This window comes from Homo sapiens, chromosome 20 (assembly GCF_000001405.40).
Source record: "Homo sapiens chromosome 20, GRCh38.p14 Primary Assembly".
Lineage (NCBI taxonomy): Eukaryota > Metazoa > Chordata > Mammalia > Primates > Hominidae > Homo > Homo sapiens.
The window spans coordinates 4,158,276-4,176,957 of record NC_000020.11 but is presented as its reverse complement, the minus strand read 5'-3'; the positions used below and the strand labels follow the sequence as shown (position 1 = coordinate 4,176,957).

General features: G+C 54.0%; 1 protein-coding gene and 1 long non-coding RNA gene across 14 annotated transcripts in view, besides 5 other annotated features; one reads left to right on the top strand and one right to left on the bottom strand.

Annotated features, from left to right (window-relative positions):
• SMOX (spermine oxidase) overlaps positions 1 to 18,682 on the bottom strand; it is a 38,900-nt gene that overhangs the window by 10,770 nt on the left and 9,448 nt on the right. For 8 of the 13 annotated variants that reach the window (NM_001270691.2, NM_175839.3, NM_175842.3 and 5 more), the window contains exon 2: positions 1,695 to 1,928. In NM_001270691.2, the coding sequence (NP_001257620.1) occupies positions 1,695 to 1,902 (208 nt within the window). In that variant the 5' untranslated portion in view covers positions 1,903 to 1,928. Of the gene's footprint in view, positions 1 to 1,694; positions 1,929 to 3,795; positions 4,020 to 14,605; positions 14,694 to 18,682 lie in introns of those variants that run through there. The other 5 variants (XM_047440220.1, XM_047440223.1, XM_047440217.1 and 2 more) reach the window with 5 other exon arrangements.
• Positions 4,218 to 4,287: a silencer, noted in NCBI's record as "silent region_12641". NCBI's record gives its function as "represses an Ori minimal core promoter by ATAC-STARR-seq in GM12878 lymphoblastoid cells {active_cell/tissue: GM12878}" and the evidence as "EXISTENCE:reporter gene assay evidence [ECO:0000049][PMID:35858748]".
• Positions 4,418 to 4,537: a silencer, noted in NCBI's record as "silent region_12640". NCBI's record gives its function as "represses an Ori minimal core promoter by ATAC-STARR-seq in GM12878 lymphoblastoid cells {active_cell/tissue: GM12878}" and the evidence as "EXISTENCE:reporter gene assay evidence [ECO:0000049][PMID:35858748]".
• LOC124904861 (uncharacterized) lies at positions 4,438 to 18,395 on the top strand. Its single transcript, XR_007067504.1, has 2 exons — positions 4,438 to 5,321; positions 13,760 to 18,395. It is a non-coding gene; the product is annotated as an uncharacterized LOC124904861 (long non-coding RNA).
• Positions 4,568 to 4,727: a silencer, noted in NCBI's record as "silent region_12639". NCBI's record gives its function as "represses an Ori minimal core promoter by ATAC-STARR-seq in GM12878 lymphoblastoid cells {active_cell/tissue: GM12878}" and the evidence as "EXISTENCE:reporter gene assay evidence [ECO:0000049][PMID:35858748]".
• Positions 8,735 to 9,436: an enhancer, noted in NCBI's record as "H3K27ac-H3K4me1 hESC enhancer chr20:4148169-4148870 (GRCh37/hg19 assembly coordinates)". NCBI's record gives its function as "activates a minimal SCP1, AML or CMV promoter by ChIP-STARR-seq in naive H9 embryonic stem cells {active_cell/tissue: H9 hESC(naive)}" and the evidence as "EXISTENCE:reporter gene assay evidence [ECO:0000049][PMID:30033119]".
• Positions 15,261 to 16,194: an enhancer, noted in NCBI's record as "H3K27ac-H3K4me1 hESC enhancer chr20:4141411-4142344 (GRCh37/hg19 assembly coordinates)". NCBI's record gives its function as "activates a minimal SCP1, AML or CMV promoter by ChIP-STARR-seq in naive H9 embryonic stem cells {active_cell/tissue: H9 hESC(naive)}" and the evidence as "EXISTENCE:reporter gene assay evidence [ECO:0000049][PMID:30033119]".

Below are 18,682 nucleotides of genomic sequence, written 5' to 3'. Positions count from 1 at the left end.
CATCCCCAGTGGCTCCAAGATCTAAAGCATTTCCCAGACAGAAAATGGCTCCCTCCAAATTCAGCATAGGGCAGGAGAGAAGTCCAAACATCCCAGTTTGCAAGATTCCCCCAAAAAGCAATCTAAAGCACATTTCCAGGGAAAGTGAAGCCCTCTACATCCTTTGACACAGTACAAAAAACCCTGAGAGCCGGACTGGGGCAGGGGACATCTCGTGGGTCCAAGTTGGGATGGCCTGGGAACTAGGTCTACTACCCCATCCCCAGCCAAGGCATCATATACTCTGAGGCAAGTTGCCTCTGTGCCTGGGCCTCAGTTTCTTCTTCTGATGCTGCAGAAACTGTCTCCTTCTCCCATTCCTCCCCATCCCTACCTAGCTCCCAGGGAAGCCGAAACAATGAAAGGAAAATAGAAATTTTGGGGGGTGTTTCGTTTTGTTTTTGCAGGCCTGCTTCAAGATATATGTGGCACACTTTTTGCCAAGATAGTCACAATGATTCCTCCTATCTTTGTACACACACCCCTTTGCAACGTGACTTTGCCATTCCTCCCATGAGAAGGTGGAGTCTGTTTCCCTGCAGACACTCTTGTGTGTGCTGGGGAAAAGGGACAACTTTAGGTATGCCTTGCAGGAAATGCTGTAGGGGAAGACACTTAAGGTGATCAAAGTTTCTACAAGAGGCCCAGGCAGGTGGATCACCTGAGGTCAGGAGTTCAAGACCAGCCTGGCCAACATGGTGAAACGTTTGTCTCTACTAAAAATATAAAAATTAGCCAGACATGGTGGCACACACCTGTAATCCCAGCTACTTCGGAGGCTGAGGCGGGAGAATCTCTTGAATCCCAGAAGCAGAGGTTGCAGTGAACCAAGATCATGCCACTGCACTCCAGCCTGGGTGACAGAGTGAGACTCTGTCTCAAAAAAAAAAAAAAAAAAACTCCTCTAGAGGATCAATGTAGCCACACATTCCAGGCCATGTGTGGTCTCACTGGGTCATTTTCATGGTTTCTACCCACCCAACCCCTCAATGGTCAGAAACCATCCCCCCCCCACCCCCTCCCCCGCCAGTTGGGAAGCCCTGACCTAGGGATTTCAGGCAATTTTCCCATTCTCTGAGATCCCTGGCAAAGTCTGCCCACCCCTAGGGCAAGTCTCTTACCTGGCTGCTTTCTCCAGGGTCCTCATTGCTCTGCAACCTAGACAGATCCACTTCCCAGATAATCCCAAGACCTGCCCATCACACACATGGAGGCCCAAAATCCCCTTTCATCTCTGCTAACCCAGGATCCTACTGCTCCAGGGCTAGCTCTCAGTCATGTTATACTAATTCACAATTAGTATTCACAAAAAGTTAACAACTACTAGGACCTTGCAGAAGAATTTCACTTCTTGTGAAATAGAAACTTGCCCACTCAGTACCAAGAGAGCTTGGGTGTCCACTCCCTCCTAAACACTGTGAGCACTAGGTCAGAAGCAAGCCAGCATTCTCCACAAGTGAAAGTCAGGGCCCTACCATGCCCGCCTCAGAGGGCTGCCACGAGGAGCGAAGGAAGCTTCTGGAAAATGCCCAGGCAGGATGCATGATGGAACATTTATCCCAGAAGTTAAAATAATGAGATTTCAGGCAGAGCCGGGAATTAGGAGACTAAAGGTGACCTGGGGAGGTGGCTGGGCTGGACTGGGTGGCACTTACCAAGTTTCACACTCTGCACACGGCCTCCGATGTGGCTGGAAGCCTCAAGCACAGTGACATCCGTGAAACCCTGCTCAAGAAGTGCTTTGGCTGCAGCCAGGCCAGCCAAGCCGGCGCCGATCACCACCACACGAGGCTGTCCCCTTCTCCGTAGGCCGCGACTGAGAGGGTCATCCGCACTGTCACCACTGGATTCACAACTTTGCATACCGTCCGCGCTCACCTTCTAGGAACCTGCAGGGGGAGGAGGTGTCACAGCTTAGTGGCTCTGCCTTCACTTCCCACCTGCCCCAAGGGACACTCAGGGCTTTCATCACACTCTGCCCTCTGTTGTGGGTGGGGGGACCTGGAGTCCTCTCCCTCCCTCTCTGAGGACCTGGACAAGAAGAGCCACCTCCAAAGGGGCAGGGAGGGATGGAAGAATAAATAAGGGAAGGTGGCAGGAAGGGAGGAGAAAAGGAAGAAAGGGAAGGGAAGGAGAAAGTAAGGGAGGGATGCATTTTGGGTCCCCGCCAGCAGGCAGGAGACCTGGGAGCCCATCTTAAGCCCCTGAAATTCTCAATCCCACCCCCAAACTTGTTAGGCCCTGCTTCTTCCCTGACCACAGGCCCCAAAGTGGAGATGAGAGGCAGCCAGTGAGGAGATGACCAAGAAGGCCACAGTCAGGAGAGACTGGAGCTTGGGGCTGCTGATTCTGGACCAGCTCAGCATGGCATAACTGCTGTGGTCCACCTGGTGCCAATACCAGGAGGCTCACACAGACCCCGGATACTTGCCTGGACCCCAAGATACTCACACAGACCCCCCAGGATACTCACACAGACCCCAGGACACTTGCCTGGACCCCAAGATACTTGCATGGACCCCGGATACTTGCCTGGACCCGAAGATACTTGCATGGACCCCAAGATATTCACACAAACCTCAGGATACTCAACACAGATCCCAGGATACTTGCACACACAACCCTGGACCCTCTGCTCTCCCTCCTTTGCCTGGCTTTTCCCTGGCACTCTCTCTCTCTTTCCCTTGCCCCTTCTCTTGTCTCTGGCTTTCTGTTGGTCTTTCACAGCCTCACCGAAGTGGCAATTTGGTGGGCAGGACATAGTCCCGCCCTCCCCCAAGAAAGTGCCACGAGGCCTGCATCCAACAAGCCTGCTATTCCGGGTAGGTTGTTTTCCCAGCCACCCAGTCCCTCAGCCACCACAAAGCAGCAAGGAGCCCAGGAAACAGTGGACCAAGAGGACCCATGGCACCAGAGGCCAGACATGAAATTGACAGTTACACTAAGCCAGTTTGCTCAGAGACGCCAGACTAGGGGAGCTGATGGCTGGGAGGCCAAGGGGGTCCCCAAATCTGGCCCCAGGGCTAGGAGAGGCTGCTTTTCTCTTCCCAGAATGACCCGGAGGGTTTGGAGATATCTGGGGGCCACCCTGAGGAACCACTCAGCTCAGATGCTGTCCCTGTTCCTTCCCTGATTCAAGCAATTTAGATTCCAGTTGTCTTTGCTGGGGTTTAAGTGGCAAAAGTTGCAGAATCTAACAGTATCCAGGATCTAACAGGGAACAAATGTGGGCGGAAGGTGGCTGCCGGACAGCAAACAAGGGGCACTGTCACCCGTACCTAATAAAGCTGCGCATAACTGTTCCCATGACATAGCAATCCCACTCTTAAGAATACACCCAACAGAAAGAGGGCACATTCCACCAAAGACACAAGTTAAAGAGTGTGCACAGCACCTATATTCGTAACAGCCTGAAAATAAAAACACCCCACGGGTCTATCAGCAGGAGAACAGAGACATATGCGGTGCTGTACCTAGCATATCCATACCACGGACTATTCTTCAGCAGTAGACAGAACCCAAGTACTGACACTCCCAACCACACAGATGCACCTCAATCACGCACTGAGCAAAAGAAGCCAGAGACAAGGGCACGGACTGTATGACTTCATTCACACGAAGCTCAGGAAGAGGCAAACCCAATCTATGAAGCCAGAGGTCAGAAGAGAGGTTAGAAGGCAGGGAGATGACTGAAGGGGGCAGGAGGGGCCTTTCTGGGGTAGACGGAATAAATATCTTAATCTGAAGGGTGGGTACCCAGTGCACGTATGAAGATTCGCTGAGCTGCACAGTTGAGATATGTGTAATTCACTGTATGTATCTACATAGACCTCACTAACAAGATAGTCATTCCTGCCCTCCAATCAATCCGTCAAAGGCTGCCACACTGACTTTCTTCTCCATGCATTTCAGGGTCTGACCACTGAGGTTTCTATCCCACTTGGAACCGCAGCGTCCTTAACATCCCTTAAGTGACATGGGTGAACAAAGGAGGCTTTTTCCGAAATACGCTTAGGCTGAGAAGCTGCTCTTTGTGCCTCCCCCGCCCATTGCACCTGCCCCCGCGATGCCTGGGCCTGGACGGGAATCCTCCCTCCACCACCCCCCCTCCCACCCACCCACCCTCCAGCCCCTAAAATCCCTCCAAGTCCCCCTGAGACCCAGGCCCGCCAACTCCGTGCAGAATCGGTTCCCAAAAGGGCCGGTAGGTGGCGCCCGAGACCCGGAGCCACATCCGGGCAGCGTCCAGTTCGGAGGCAAGGGCTCCCGCTCCCCTTCCCAGACAGCGGGTGTCGCGCTTTCGCTGGGGATGAGGCCACGCCGGGAGCAGGGCGGCTCCGGCCCTTTCCTCCTCCCCGCCTCTGTCCTCTGACTCCCGTCCCTCTCCTCCCTCGCCCCAGAGATGCTAGGTCCTGCCTCCCTCCCGAGAGGACACGGATCAGGGCTGGCTCCAGTCCTCCCCCACCCTACCCCAGGTTCTCCTTCCTGCAAACTAAATTTAGAGGTGAGGATGTGGCCGCCTGCACGGGGCGGGCGGGGAGGGTCAGCGGCGATGCCGCCGGATGTCTGCCAGCCGGGCCGGGACGCTGCGTCAGGTCGGTAAACACGCGGCGTGCTCCGGAGGGGCCGCGCCAGCTGCGACGGGGACGCCGCCACCCTGGGCACCCTGGACTGACGTGGCGCCGCAACCCGCCCGGCGGGTCTGCCCCAGGCCACCCCACACACAGTCTCCTATCCACTACGGAAAGGGATGGCTGCAGTGGCTCTCACGCCTTACTGGTGGAACCCCTTCTTAAAAAGCTGCTATGGGGGTCAGGGTGTAGCAGGTATTAAACTGGGGGTCCCCCTCACCCCAGGCTCCCTGGAGCACCACCTCTGAAAACCAGGGGACCAGATAAGCTCCAGCGTTGGGAAGCCAGGATAGGGGAACAGCGCTCGGTGCCAGCAGGGCCGTCCCAGCCAGCTACCTGCCTTCCCTGCTCCCAGAGCCATGCATGGCCCGCTTGTCCTCACCGCTCCTTTGTGACCGTCAAATAAGGCCCTCCATGGATGTCACAAGACTGTCAACATTTTCAAGGGCCTCGTGCATGAAAATAATTTGTCAAGTGCAGAAGCTACATCATGAGCAGACTGTCTTTGGAACAAGCTGTGGAATGGACCGTGGAATGAATGCAGGCAGCCACTCTGCCTCCAAGATCAGCACAGAAAGAACCCCCAGCTCCCTGCACCTGGTCTCAGAGACTTTGAACTCAAACAGACATCGCACATGGAATGACACGCAAGTAAGCAGGGGCCACGTGAGTCCCCTGCATTCTGACCCTCACAGCTAATCCCACGGTCCTGTCCCTCCTCAGGCCCTGTCCCAGATAAGCCTGTCAATCCCCAATGCCTCCAGGAAGCCAGAGGAGCCCCCTACACAGCCCACAGAGGGCAGAGAAATGAGTCCGTCCTGTGGCCCTGATATCATCCCATGGAGCCAGCACACCCTGTGGTCCAACTGAAAGGGAGAGAGAGAACATAGCCAGGACACCTACTGTGTGCTAAATGCCTGCTGGGGAGTGGGGGCACTAAGGGGCAACTTGTTTTCTGTTGGTTTGTGTCATCGTTTCCTTTCCCTTCTGGGTTTTGTTTTGTTTTGTTTTAATGTATGAGAAACTGCCTTACTGAGGAAGGAGAATCACTTAAATGGTACTCGGTGCCTGCCCTGTCCTTCTCTCGCCTTGGGGAAAGAAAGAAAGAAATAACATCCGCTCCTTGATCTGTATGCACAGGAGAAACAGAACACCCTGTACTTTCTGAGCAGATAAAGGAGAGAAGAAAAAAGTGCTGGCTCAGCCAGGCAGGGAAGAGGAGGAGGGCGGGCAACAGACACTTGCCTTCTTGCTCCTGCTTCCATGGCAAAGTGGGGGTGTGAGCCTCTTGCCCAGCGCCTGCACCCACGCCTTGAGGTTATTCTCCATGTCCCCAAGCAGGCAATGCCTAGGAGTGCCAAGAAATCAGGCCAGCCAGGGCATGAGTGCACCCCCCGGTCCCCTGGCAATTTCATCCAAGATACCACGCAGCCAGTTCTCCAGCCTGCAGGCCACCGCCTCCCCCAGCTGTCCAGAGCCACCACCACCCTGACTGAAGTGTCCCAAGAGGCCACATTGGACACAGGAAGGCAGCAGGGTATGGAGAGAGGAAAAGAGGGAGGAAAAACCCCGTCCTGTGGCAGGGTTGCCAAAGACGGATGAATAGAATAAAGACTCAGAGGTCAGGTGACCAGAGTGGGCACGAGCCACCAAAGTTTGTGTGAACTGCCACTTCTTCATCCCATCCCTGGAACATCCTCCCCAATTTCATTTTGACACCCTCAGAAATTTACGCTCTAGTTGCAGTGAGCTGAGATGGCACCATGGTGCTCCAGCCTGGGCAACAGAGTGAGACCCTGTCTCAGAAAAAAAAAAGTGAAGAAATTTACACTCCAGCAAGTACCTTCTAATGGCCAAATACTAGAGAGACACGCGTTAGTCCTGGTCTCCAACGTCTGACCCTGCCAAGCCCCGCCTGGAAATGCCCAGAACTAAACAGGAGGCACCACCCAACTCCTGGCACTTTCCTCATTGAGGGCAAATTACAGGACCACCAAGCAGTCCCTAGGCTCAAATCTGGAGTCACCCTTAGTGGGAGACCCTCCTCATACATCGGGTCAAGCCATGGCAACTCCACAGCCTGAATCATGTCACCTCCACCCCCAACTGCGCCAGAAGCACCCCCCCACCCCGCCTCCTCTATGTGAGCCTCACCCATGCGGGTCTCAATCTCCCAGCCCCACCCTCCAAGGATAAGCACAGCTGGGCATCTCGCTGGCCAGGGAATATAATTTAGCAATTCACTGAGCACCTACTATGTAGCAGGCCTGGGGAAGATCTCTGCATGTCAGCCTTGCCCTCTGGACCCAGCTGGCCTTTCTAGCTTCAGTTCTCAATCACAACTCCCCGCCAAAACATACACACAGACCCCCAACTTCACCAAAAGTCTGGAGCCTCCCCAGCCCCGCCCACCTGAAGGCCTGCAGGAAACAGCCTCCCGCATACACATCAGAGAAGCTGGTTCTGGGTTCTCTTAGTATGCACGGCCTTGTGTGATTTCGGGGTGGGTGTTGCTCGAACCACCAGCAAGGCCTGCTCCGTTACTGTTTCCTGAAGCAACAGACACCCTTGAAATGTGAGTCCCTCGTACTGGTTCTGCACTGTCACCTGACCCCCAGCCTACCCCCAAAGCACAGGCATCTCACCCCAGGAAATTCTGTTGTCTGTTATCTCAAGAATGAGGCTGAAGCCCCACAGCCACAGGGCAGGGCTGAGGTCCCAGGCTAGACTGGCGAGCCCCTGCCCAAGGTGAGCGCGGCCAAACCCTGTGAGTGAACCACAGTGGAATCAATCACCCAGCTGGGTGTGCAGTGCCCTTTCTTTAACATTGAAGCCCACCTCAGCATCACCCAAAAATCAGCACATCACTCCCTCTCCAAGAGTGGCTACTGAAACAAAACAGTGCCAGGAGAGGCCAGCCTCCCGTACCCCACACCCTTCCAAGACGCCCCTCACAAGAGATAAAAATCTGGCCAGGTGTGGCCAGAGCTATTACAGGTGGTTCATGCCTGTAATCGCGGCACTTTGGGAGGCAAGGTGGGAGGATCACTTGAGCTCAGGAGTTAAGAGACCAGCCTGGACAACATAGTGAGACCTAGTTTCTACTAAAAATTAAAAATTGCAAACATATTCAGACTGTCTGAAACATAAACAAAAAAATAAAAATTAAAAAATTAGCCAGTTGTGGTGAAATGTACCTGTAGCCCCAGCTACACTGGAGACCGAGGAAGAAGGATGGCTTGAGCCTGGGAGTTCAAGGTTGCAATGAGCTATGATAGCACCACAGCACTCTAGTCTGGGCGACAGAGCAAGACCCTGTCTCTAAAATAAAATAACATAAAATAAAATAAAATAAAATAAAATAAAATAAAATAAAATAAAATAAAATAAAATAAAATAAAATAGAGCATTAATTTTAAAAAGAGAGAGAGAGCCAGGCATGGTGCCTCAAGCCTGTAATCCCAGCACTTGGGGAGGCCGAGGCGGGCGGATCACTTGAGGCCAGGAGCTCAAGACCAGCCTGGCCAACATGGTGAAACCCTGTCTCTACTAAAAATACAAAAATTAGCCAAGCGTGGTGGCGGGTGCCTGTAATCCCAGCTACTCGGGAGGCTGAGGCAGGAGAATCGCTTGAACCCAGGAGGCAGAGGGTGCAGTGAGTCGAGATCGCGCCACTGCACTCCAGCCTGGGTGACAGAGCGAGACTCCGTCTCAAAAAAAAAAAAAAGAGAGAGAGAGAGACAAAACTCCTACCCATCTCTGGCCCCCTCCGAACACAGGCTATTCCCAAGTGTGCCTGAGCCCTGCCTTTTTCTCAAGGTCACCCGGGGATGAATTTCCTAATCCGCTTCCCAGAGAAGAAGAGTGAGGCTCCCAGGAAATTGGCCCACCTGGCTCACTTTGCCTGGCTCCCCTTGGGGCCCAGGACTCCACCAGCTGAAGTGCCCCAAAACAGACCCAGCCTTCCACCAGCCTCCTCCCTCCTCCAACCGCACATCTGCTCATGAGACCTGTTCAGGGCTGTGGTGCCCTCGGCAGCAGGGGACAGCTCACTTGCCCCCGACCAGCCTTGGGGACTTTAAACCTCTCTTCCCAATGGAGACTTCTGGTCCCTGAGGGCAGCAGCCCCACCTCAGTTCCCCATGCCCCCTCCCCACCCCCCCACCCCTACCCCGCTCTTTCTCAGGTTTCTAACAGGAGGAGAGGGAGTGGGAGGGAAGCTGGGGAGCTGCTCCAGGGGCACATCTTTGGACTGCCTGGAAGTCTGGGGAGGGATTTGGATTCTTGAGGCCCCCCAGACAATGCAATTATTCTTCAAATGTAAAAACGCCCAGAAATCCCAGACCAGCTGCTTTGCACAACGGCCCAGACAAAGGGGCTCTGTGTCTGCGGTGAGGCTCCTCCCACCCCTCAACCAGGGAGGGGCTGGGCCCCAACTCCTCCCAGCCAGACCCTCCCCAGCCTCCTCACTCAGGCTGGCCAGGAAGTAAAAGGACTGCTGGGCCAGGCTGGGCTGCCACGGTGGGAGAATCGGGGTACAGGTGTGGGGAACAGAGCAGGGGCAGCTCATGAACCCAGGAGACAGAAGAGGAGGGAGAGAACACTGGCCCAGACCTGGGAATCAGGCCCCAGCTCAATCTCTACCTTGCCAGGTGACCCCTGGGCCAGTGTCTTCCCTTCTCCAGGCCCCACTTGGCCAACACCTCTGAACTCACTCCAAGGACGCACCCTCTGTACCCCACTACCTGGGCACACTTGTCCAAGCCCTATCTGATATTTAAAGGCTCACTTTGGTCTTCAAGCTTTCCCATCCGTAAAATGGGGATAGGTACAGCCGACTTGTAGGAATATTAAATTAGCACAGGTAAAAGGTGTGGCCACTGCAAAGGTCATCTCGGAGAGGGCGGGAGAGGGAGGAAGATCCCCAAAGAGACCAGTACAGAAGTCACCTTTCCTAGGGCCCAGAGCTCTGTCTCACTTATAGAAGAACCCCAATCTTCATCTGAGCTCAGAACCCAGCCTTCACCTTGGCCCCAACCCTACTATCAGGCTGGACCTTGACACTGACATCATGCAGGCACCTCACATCTGTATCTGACTGACCCCAACCCAATACTGACTCGGCCTGAGCCCCTCAATCCTGACTCAGCCTGACCATCCTCCCCATTGTTGAGGGGAAGGGGCATCAGAGGTGGTGGCCATTAGCCAGCTCCAAGCTCATGAAAGGGAAAAGCTTGGGAGCCTCTTTCAGCAGAGCCCCCGCCCCCAGCAATGTCCCCTGGCCCTCACAGGCCAAAAACAGGGAAGGCCTCCATCATCCTGCCTGGCACCCAGACTTCTTTCCAATTACATTGTCATTGCTACCCACATTTCTTCCCTAAAATCATAAAGTCCCTAAAAGCACAACTTTAAAAAGGCTTTGTAAGCGAATTTCAGATGAGAAGAAGGGAGCCAGGGGGCCTTGGCAGGCATGTGTTGCAAGGAGAAGCAGCCATTGATTCAGTGCATGGAGGGACAGAGCCAAAGACACGGCCCCCACAGGCACTGGGAGGCAAGAGCGGGAGGCCCCCGGGAGAGGTGAGCACTCTGGGGCCATCTCTGTTTCCCTTGGTGTCCTGCATACCACCGAGGTTCATTGTTTCAGGACCCTTTTGCCTGGGAGGCATAAGGTGATTTTATAGCTCCCTGTAGGGGCAGACCCAGGAGACTACTCAACTAGAAACCTAACTGGGGGTGGAGGAGGGGAAGAAAGCTCAGAAAGAAGCCAGAGAGGCTGGGAGGGCACAGTGGCTCACACCTGTAATTCCAGCACTTTGGGAGGCCAAGGCAGGAGGATTGCTTCAGTCTAGGAAGTCGAGGCTACAGTGAACCATGATCACACCACTGCACTCCAGCCTGGGAGACAGAGCAAGACCTTGTCTCAAAAAAAAGAAGTCAGACAAAGGGCAGGGTCTTTCCGAAAGCTCACTGAGGGCCTTGATGACAGTATCAGAGAGAGACACAGGTAGAGATGGGCCAGAACAGAGCTTGGTACTGCAGTTACTTCCCCAGGCCACACCCCTGCAGCTTCATCCCAAGCCTCACCCTATAGGTCCCACCTTCAGCAAAAATTAGCAACTCGATCACACTCTGACAATAGATCACACTCTGACAATAGATCACACTCTGACAACAGATTAGATCAGGCGCTAGGCACAATTGCTCTGAACACCTCCTGTGAACTTTTCAAGCTCTGGGCCAGCCCCACCAGCTAAGTTTCCACCTCCAGGTTTCTCACACCCCATGCCTTGCTTCCCATCTTTGTGTATGTCTATCTGCAGATGTCCCTGGCTTGCCAGATAGATAGTCACCTCTCAGCAGGCAGAACCCACATTCTTCCCCTCAGATTCCAGATCTTGCAGAGGTAGGCAAGCTCCATGCCCCCTCAGCAACCAGAGATCTGCTGGGAGGACTATGCCACTCCAGATGTTCCTAGAGAAGATGAACTGCCCAGCAGCAGCCTCTGCCACTAACCAGTGTGGCCTTGGGAGAGTCTGTTAGCACTTGAACCTCATTTTCCCCATTTGTCAAATGGGGAAAATCACCCCTACCCTGAGAGAGGCCAGCCCTGACTCCTGAACCTATTCACCAGCCTCCTGTATCCCCAGCAAAGTCTACTGCAGCTCCCTTTAGTGGCCCTTAGGATAAGACCCCATGGTCTGGATTCCCTCCCTGTGAGCAGGACCTAACATCCCAACTCTGAATTCCCCTCCAGGAAGTCATCAACCACAAAGGTGTAAGAAAGACCAGGCCCAGAACAGTGGCTCATGCCTGTAATTCCAGTGCTTTAGGAAGCTGACGTGGGAGGATTGCTTGAGGTCAGGAGGTTGAGACCAGCCTGGGCAACATAGCAAGACCCTATCTCTCCAAAAATAAAAATGTAAAAGTTAGCTAGGGCCGGGTGCGGTGGCTCAGGCCTGTAATCCCAGCACTTTGGGAGGCCAAGGCGGGCGGATCATGAGGTCAGGAGTTCGAGACCAGCCTGGCCAACATGGTGAAAACCCGTCTCTACTAAAAATACAAAAATTAGCCAGGTGTGGTGGCACGTGCCTGTTAATCCCAGCTACTTAGGAGGCTGAGGCAGGAGAATCACTTGAACCTCGGAGGCGGAGGTTGCAGTGAGCCAAGATCACCCCACTGCACTCTAGCCTGGACAACAGAGCGAGACTCTGTCTCAAAAAAAAAAAAAAAAAAAAAAACAACTTAGCTAAGGCATGGTGATGCACAACTGGAGTCCCAGCTACTCCAAAGGCTAAGGTGGGAGGATCACCTGAGCCCAGGTGTGTAAGGCTGCAATGAGCCATGATCATGCCACTGTACTCCACTATGGGCGACCTTGTCTCTAAAGAAAAAAACACCACAGAGCCGGTCACTGCCCTGGTGAATACGTTGGTGCAAGACTGCCCTTGGTAACAGCAGACCAGGCCACTGGCAGGGGAGGGCCAACAGGCGATGGTGCTCACAGCTGCCCGCTTCCTTAGAAAAAAAGTCTCCTGACACAGCCGAAACCCAGAGAGGGAATACTAGCTTCAACACCAAGGTATCAGCCCTGTTTTGAGGCACCCAAGTCACCACAGCCTTCGGCGAACCCCAGGAAGAGACACTTCTCTTACACACACACACACACAAATCATGAAAGCATATTTCCTTATGTTTCATTTGACGACCCAACTTAATAAATAGTCCTATCCTTTGGGAACACCTTATAGTACCACAGCTTTCACACAGGTCCTGGGGTCTGACGCTGGCTTTGAATACCAGTCATTTGAATCCCCACCACTTATTAGATGAGTGATCTAAGCCTCAGTTTCCTCATCAGTAAAATGGGGATAAAGTGTGCCTGCCCCACAGAGGTGTGTGACAACGCATGCAGATGGCTTATCCCAGAGCCAGATGTGTAGCAGCAATAGTCCTTATGTTTTCCTACAGGCCCCAGTCTGCACACTAGTGGTAGTCACTGCAGGGAAGATCGGGCCGGGTGACAGGCAGGGGTGGGGATGAAGGAAGCCCAGCCAGTAGACAGATCACAGATCCCCCTGCAGAATGATTCCAGAGCAGGGCCCCAGGCCTCAGAGAGAGCCACCCTACCCCACAGAGACACTGTTATGGAATGACAATGGGAAGAACAGGGGATCAGGATAGAAGGGTCACCCCACTATCCTACTTGGTAGGGGTGCTTGGAGCTCCCAGGCTAGGGTTGTGAAGCTGCAGGTGCAACAACAGGACAATTTATGTGGCCACCAGCCTCTAAGATGCCCCTCAATGATCCCTACCTCCTGGGATTCGTGCCTTGGTGTAGTTCTCTCCCAAGCTGACCATTGCAGCTAACAGGATATTGCAGAAATGATGGAATGTTACTTCTGAAAGTAGACATAAAAGACACTGTGGCTTCCACCTTGCTCCCTTGGGCAGCTTACTCTGGGAGAAGCCAGTCACCATGTGGGGAGGACACTCAAGCAACCCTGGGGCAGCCCACAGGGCACGGAACTGAGCCCTCCCATCAACAGCCAAACCATCCTGCCAAGCATGTGAGCACACCATCTTGGAAGCAAATCCTCCTGCTCCCTTCAGATGACTGCAGCGCTGGCTGACACTGTGACTGCAACCTCACTAGAGACCCCGAGCCAGAACCACCCAACTAAACTGCTACCAAATTCCCAACCTACAGAAACTGTGAGCATAATAAATGCTGACTGCCATTTTAAGCTACCAGTTTTGGAGTCATTGGTTAGCCAACAATAGGTAACTAAGAGTCAGCATCTCTCTCTCCCCAGAGACTCCCCAGAGTGGAAGTCCCCAGGTAAACACTCCCCCAACCAACCCCTCTCAGGGCCTCAGACCCCGCTGTTCTGAAATGCAGAGCTAGGATGAAGTGGGCAGGGAGCCTGGCCCAGGCCCTACAGCTTATAAGGCCCAAGAGACAGGAACTTCTCCCAACCAGTACATTAGACTCACCTGGAGATTTTTACAAATAACCCCTACCTATACCAGGTCATCTAAATTAGACTCTCTGGGGTGGGGCCCAACCATGTATTTTTTTTTTTTTTTAGGGACCTACATGATGCCAATGTACAGCCAAGGCTCAGGTTCCAGTTGCAGCCTCCTGGCCAGCCCACAGCCACTGAGGTCTGACAGTGCCGGAGAGGAAGAGGCAGAGACAGCCACAAGGCCAGGCAGTGCCCAAGCTCCCTCCACCCTGGGCTTAGGCTTGGGTCTCCCTCCACCCCGCTGCTGCCCAGCTCCCAAAGCCCTCTGCTCTCCAGGCATACAAAGCACCTCAGGCCACACAGATGTCCTTGCCCAACCTTGCTCACACACCGACACACACAGCCGCATCCTCCCCGTCTTTCTCTCTGCATCTCAACACCCTCTGCAGGTCCAACCTCTGCGCTGGGACTGCTCCCTTGGAGGACAGGAGCCAGGAAGCAGGAATGGGGTCTAGCTCTGAGTGATCTTGGAAAGACCGTTTCCTCATCCGCAAAATGGGAATGACCATCACATCTGTTCTGCTCTCTGCTGGGTCCAAGCCTCCTCATCAGAAGTCCTTAGAGAGACCTATATTTGTATGTTTTGTCTCCCCCAAGATGCACCCTTGCCTGGCCCTGCATCAGCCCCTGGAGATTCCGCAGCAATGGATTCAAGAGACAGGGCCCCCTGCCCTGAGGCTCACAGCCAGTGAACTCAAAGGTACAGAAATAAGGATCATGAAGAATTCAAGAGACAATGGGAAGGAAGACCTAATGGAGGGTGGAAGAGGGGGTGGAAATTCCCAGGAGAGAGAAGTGAGCTCCACGCAGGGAAACTGCACGTGCAGAGGCTCAGAGGCACTGCTAACAGTATCATCTCTCAACGTGTGATTCCAACACTGTCCCTTTTCTCTCTCTCCGGGAACTCACCTGGACTGGCTTGGAATCCCCTGGTCCCACACTATGCACTCTCCTGAGCTTCCTCCCATGACTGTGGCAGCCGCCTCACCCCGCCCTGGGAGTTGGGAGTCGGGAGTGGGGAGTGGGGAAGCCTTCCAGCGTCAGGTGGGGAGAACACACCTCCCGCCTCCGCTCAGGGCCTGCCCCAGCCCCACCCGGGCCGCCCTGCGCTTCCTGGGCAAGTCAGCCATGCAGGTTGGCTCCCCGAGGCACCCTGGGGAAGGGCAGGAGGCACACCTGCCAGGAGGCACACGACCTGCCGCCCAAGGCACCAGGAAGGGGGCGGGGCAGGCACAGGCGCTGGAGACACACAGGCCCTGCCACCCGGTGGCTGCCGCCGTGAGTGGGAGTCTGGATGGGCACCGGGCAGGCGGGGGGCACGTTCCCGGCCTAGGGTGGGACCAGTGCTAAGGAGACTGGAGAAAAGCACAGACAGGGTTTGTGAGTGAGCCCTAAGGCAGGGACGGGAGTAGCAGGGGACAGATTTTTCGTTCATTCAAAAAGGTTTCTGGAGGGCTACCTGTGCCAGGCACTGTCCGAGGCACTGGGGATACTGCAACACCCAGACGCCTCCCCTTAAGGATCTGTCAGGTCAGGGAAAAGCAGGGCGGGGAGACAGGAAACTAACTGCTTGCACAGGGGCGTCAGGGAAGGCCTCCTGCCAAGGCAACTCTGCGGCAGAGGAGGTGCAGTGCTGTGTCAACCTCCTGGGGACTTGCTGAATGGCAGGATGTGGGGTGAGGGCAAGGGCCACATCAGCATGACCTGGGTGACCAGGCATGACACCGCTGGGACAAACCCAGACCAGTTCTAACTGTGTCAACTGGTCATCATCTTTGCCCTTCACAACAAGCTGATGGGGTCAGAAAAATGACAGAAGCCAAATACCTCAGTGCAGGACTGCAGAGGGGAGGTCAGCCCAGGGGTCTGATTATTAAGCCCAGTTCTCTCCTCCGGGCTATCAGCAGGGTTGGGAGAGCTTCTCCAAGCCGCCTGCCATCACAGGGCCAGGCACACCCCCAAACACAGCCCCCTGCATGAGGCATCACCTGCAGGCACGGCCCTGACGTGAGTCAGTGTCCCCAGCACCACCCAGCACAGAGATCCACCCATTCTGCAGCCTGGGCACTTGACACCTGGGAGGTGTGAGCTGGCAGCTGAGGGGGTGGCTTCCCGGTGGGGCTTCTCCCCTATCCCTGCCAGGAGCCGCAGCCTCACAATTCTGGGGTGAAGGAGAACAGCTCAGTCAGCACTTTCCGCTGACTCTTTCAAAACCACTTACAAGAACTGAGGCCTGTGAGCTCAGCCGGGCGCAGTTCCCCCTCAGCGGCCCCTCGTGACTCTGCACAAAGCCCAACTGTGCTTCAGCTCCAGCCCCGGGGAGGGGGTGGGGTCTCCGGCAAGCCCATCCTGCCTCCTGAGCCACAGGGTCCCACTCTGCCCAGCCTGGGACCTGTGCTTTCTGCCCACAAAGAGACACGACAGCCCCAGTGTCAGAGCTGTCTGAGCCGTGCTGGATCCAGGCAGCCTTCCTCCCTGAAGGTGGAGACGGGCCTTCCTCCACTGTAAACCCTTTTCCAGCACAAATACCTCTCTTATGGTGTCCACACAACGTAATTTATCATAGAGCCAAGGTGGCATGCATGATCACAAAACGAAAAAAGGAAAATATCCAAAGAAAAATCGAGTCACCAGATGAACCTCACAGCAAACCTCTATTTTGCCCCTCCTGTGCCAGGCCCTTTGCTGGGCACTTTCCATTCACTGCATCCTTTAATACTCATAAACTCTCTGCTGCCCATTTTACAGATGAGGAAACAGGCCCCAAGAGGTTCAGAGGCATGACAGACGCCACCTGGATGGAGTGAGGGGCAGGGCAGGGCAACACTGCTCAATCCCTGCTCCGACCTCAGGCCCCCCTACTCAGCCTCCCCAGGGGTGCGGCAGGCCCGAGGACTGCCCTGGCTCAACGATTCTCCCATCTTACTCCTCCCCACATACTGATATGCACACACTGTGCCAGGCACTTGGGGCTGGCAGGAGTCATCTCAAGGCCTGATGGTTCACTCCAGCTTCACTGCCAAAGCCTGGGGCTGCCACCGGGAAGCTACCTGCTTTCTGGCCTGGGCGCTTAGTGGGGTCCCTGCAGGTCACCCTGGTCTCCCTGCCCCATGCAGCTGGATTAGGCTTGCCAGGCACTAAACTAGCCAGGCCTCAGTCCTTCACCCTCGATCTCCTCCTCCATAAATAGGGCCAGGGACAAGTTCTAATTGCATTGGCCAGCACAAAAGAAAATTCAAAAAGCAAGTAACTCATAACTGCCTCTAGACGGTCCTCGATCACTGGCCCGAGACCTTCCCCTCCTGGTGACTTCAGGGTACATTAACTGTGCTCTCCTAAGAAGACCACAGGATTAACCAATAAAGCACTTTCCATAGAATTCAACCATGAAGCACAGTCCCCCACCCACGCGAGGGCTGGAACCAGGTCTCAAAAGCCACTGGGGTTCATTTCAGAATGCACACAGGGGCCATGCGCCCATGATTTCATCCATAAGACCCCTATGAAGTGGAGACGCTGAGTTTGGACATAAACATATTCTTTAGGCCCTTTTGTGGAGTTCAAAGAGAGAATAACTCACTAGCTTTTGAAGCATCAAGAAAGGTCTGTTCTTAAAATCCTATCATCATTGTTATCACTCTATTTTTAGCTGAATACACCTGAGATACAGAGTGCAGTGCCAAGCATTTTGTGTGGAATACCTCAATCCTCACATCAATACCCCCATAGTACAGAGGAGGCAACTGAGATTCAGAGAGGTTCCACAGCCTGCTATCAGCCTGCCTCTAAATTTTACTTAGTAATATATTAAGCCTCAGGCCTTGCTCTTTTTAAAATCTAATGAAGAAGCAGCTGGGCGCAGTGGCTCACACCTGTAATCTCAGCACTTTGGGAGGTCGAAGTGGGCGGATCACTTGAAGTCAGGAGTTTGAGACCAGCCTGGCCAACATAGTGAAACCCCGTCTCCACTAAAAATACCAAAATTAGCCGGGCGTGGTGGCAGGCACCTGTAATCCTAGCTACTTGGGAGGCTAAGGCAGGAGAATCGCTTGAACCCAGGGGGCAGAGGTTGCAGTGAGCCAAGATCGCGCCATTGCACTCCAAGAGTGAAACTCTGTCTCAAAAACAAAAAAAAATCTAATGAAGAAGTCAAGTTCATTATCTTTCCTTGAGTTACTTTTTAAACTCCAAACCTTTTCAGATTAACTCTCAAGGTTTTGCATTGTGTATGATTTTTTTTTTTTAATTTTCCAAAATAAGAGAGAGTAAAAGGTCCCTGTGTGTTTAACATTTAAAGGCATCATTTAAAAATATTTCCTAAGAATATATGCCCCTTGGTGGTGCTGGGTGTCTCCTGCTTGAGTCATCCTAAAATCTAGCCAACTCAGCCTGCAAGGAGTATCACCACCACCCGCCAGGATCAGAGGTGCGCTGGCTGAGCTGGGCTGTCCCGGAGATCTGGTTATGGGTGGGGAGCAGTTGAAGGTATGAGGACAGGCTCTGAGAGAGCCATGGGGTTGACGAAAGGGCATCGAGACAGATGTCCCAGAAACTGAGTGAGACCCATCATGCCTCACTCAGGCCCCCGGGGCTGCATGGGGAAGACAGGACCCATGTGTCTGCCAGGGCCTAGCACAGAGTTGGCAGGGGTGGCTAGATTCTTTGTTCTGTTTTCTAATAAATTGCAACTCACTTCCAAGTTCTTGTTCTTCTGACTTTAAGTCACACCTTCCTTAATGCCGTCCCTCAAGAAGCAGGTGGAGAAGAAGGGAATCTGGACTAAGGGGTGCTGCAATGCCCCCAGCTAGGCCACCATGCTCCACCTGAATCCAGATGCTTTTCCTCATCCTCCAACCTCCCAGCCCCAGATTTAGAGAGCACTGGGCTCCTACATGCTTGAGGAAGAAAGACAAAGGGGCAAAGGAGGACAAGAGAGGGGAGCTAGGGCTGGGTAGGAAAATCCACTGAGCATGCCCCACCAGGGCC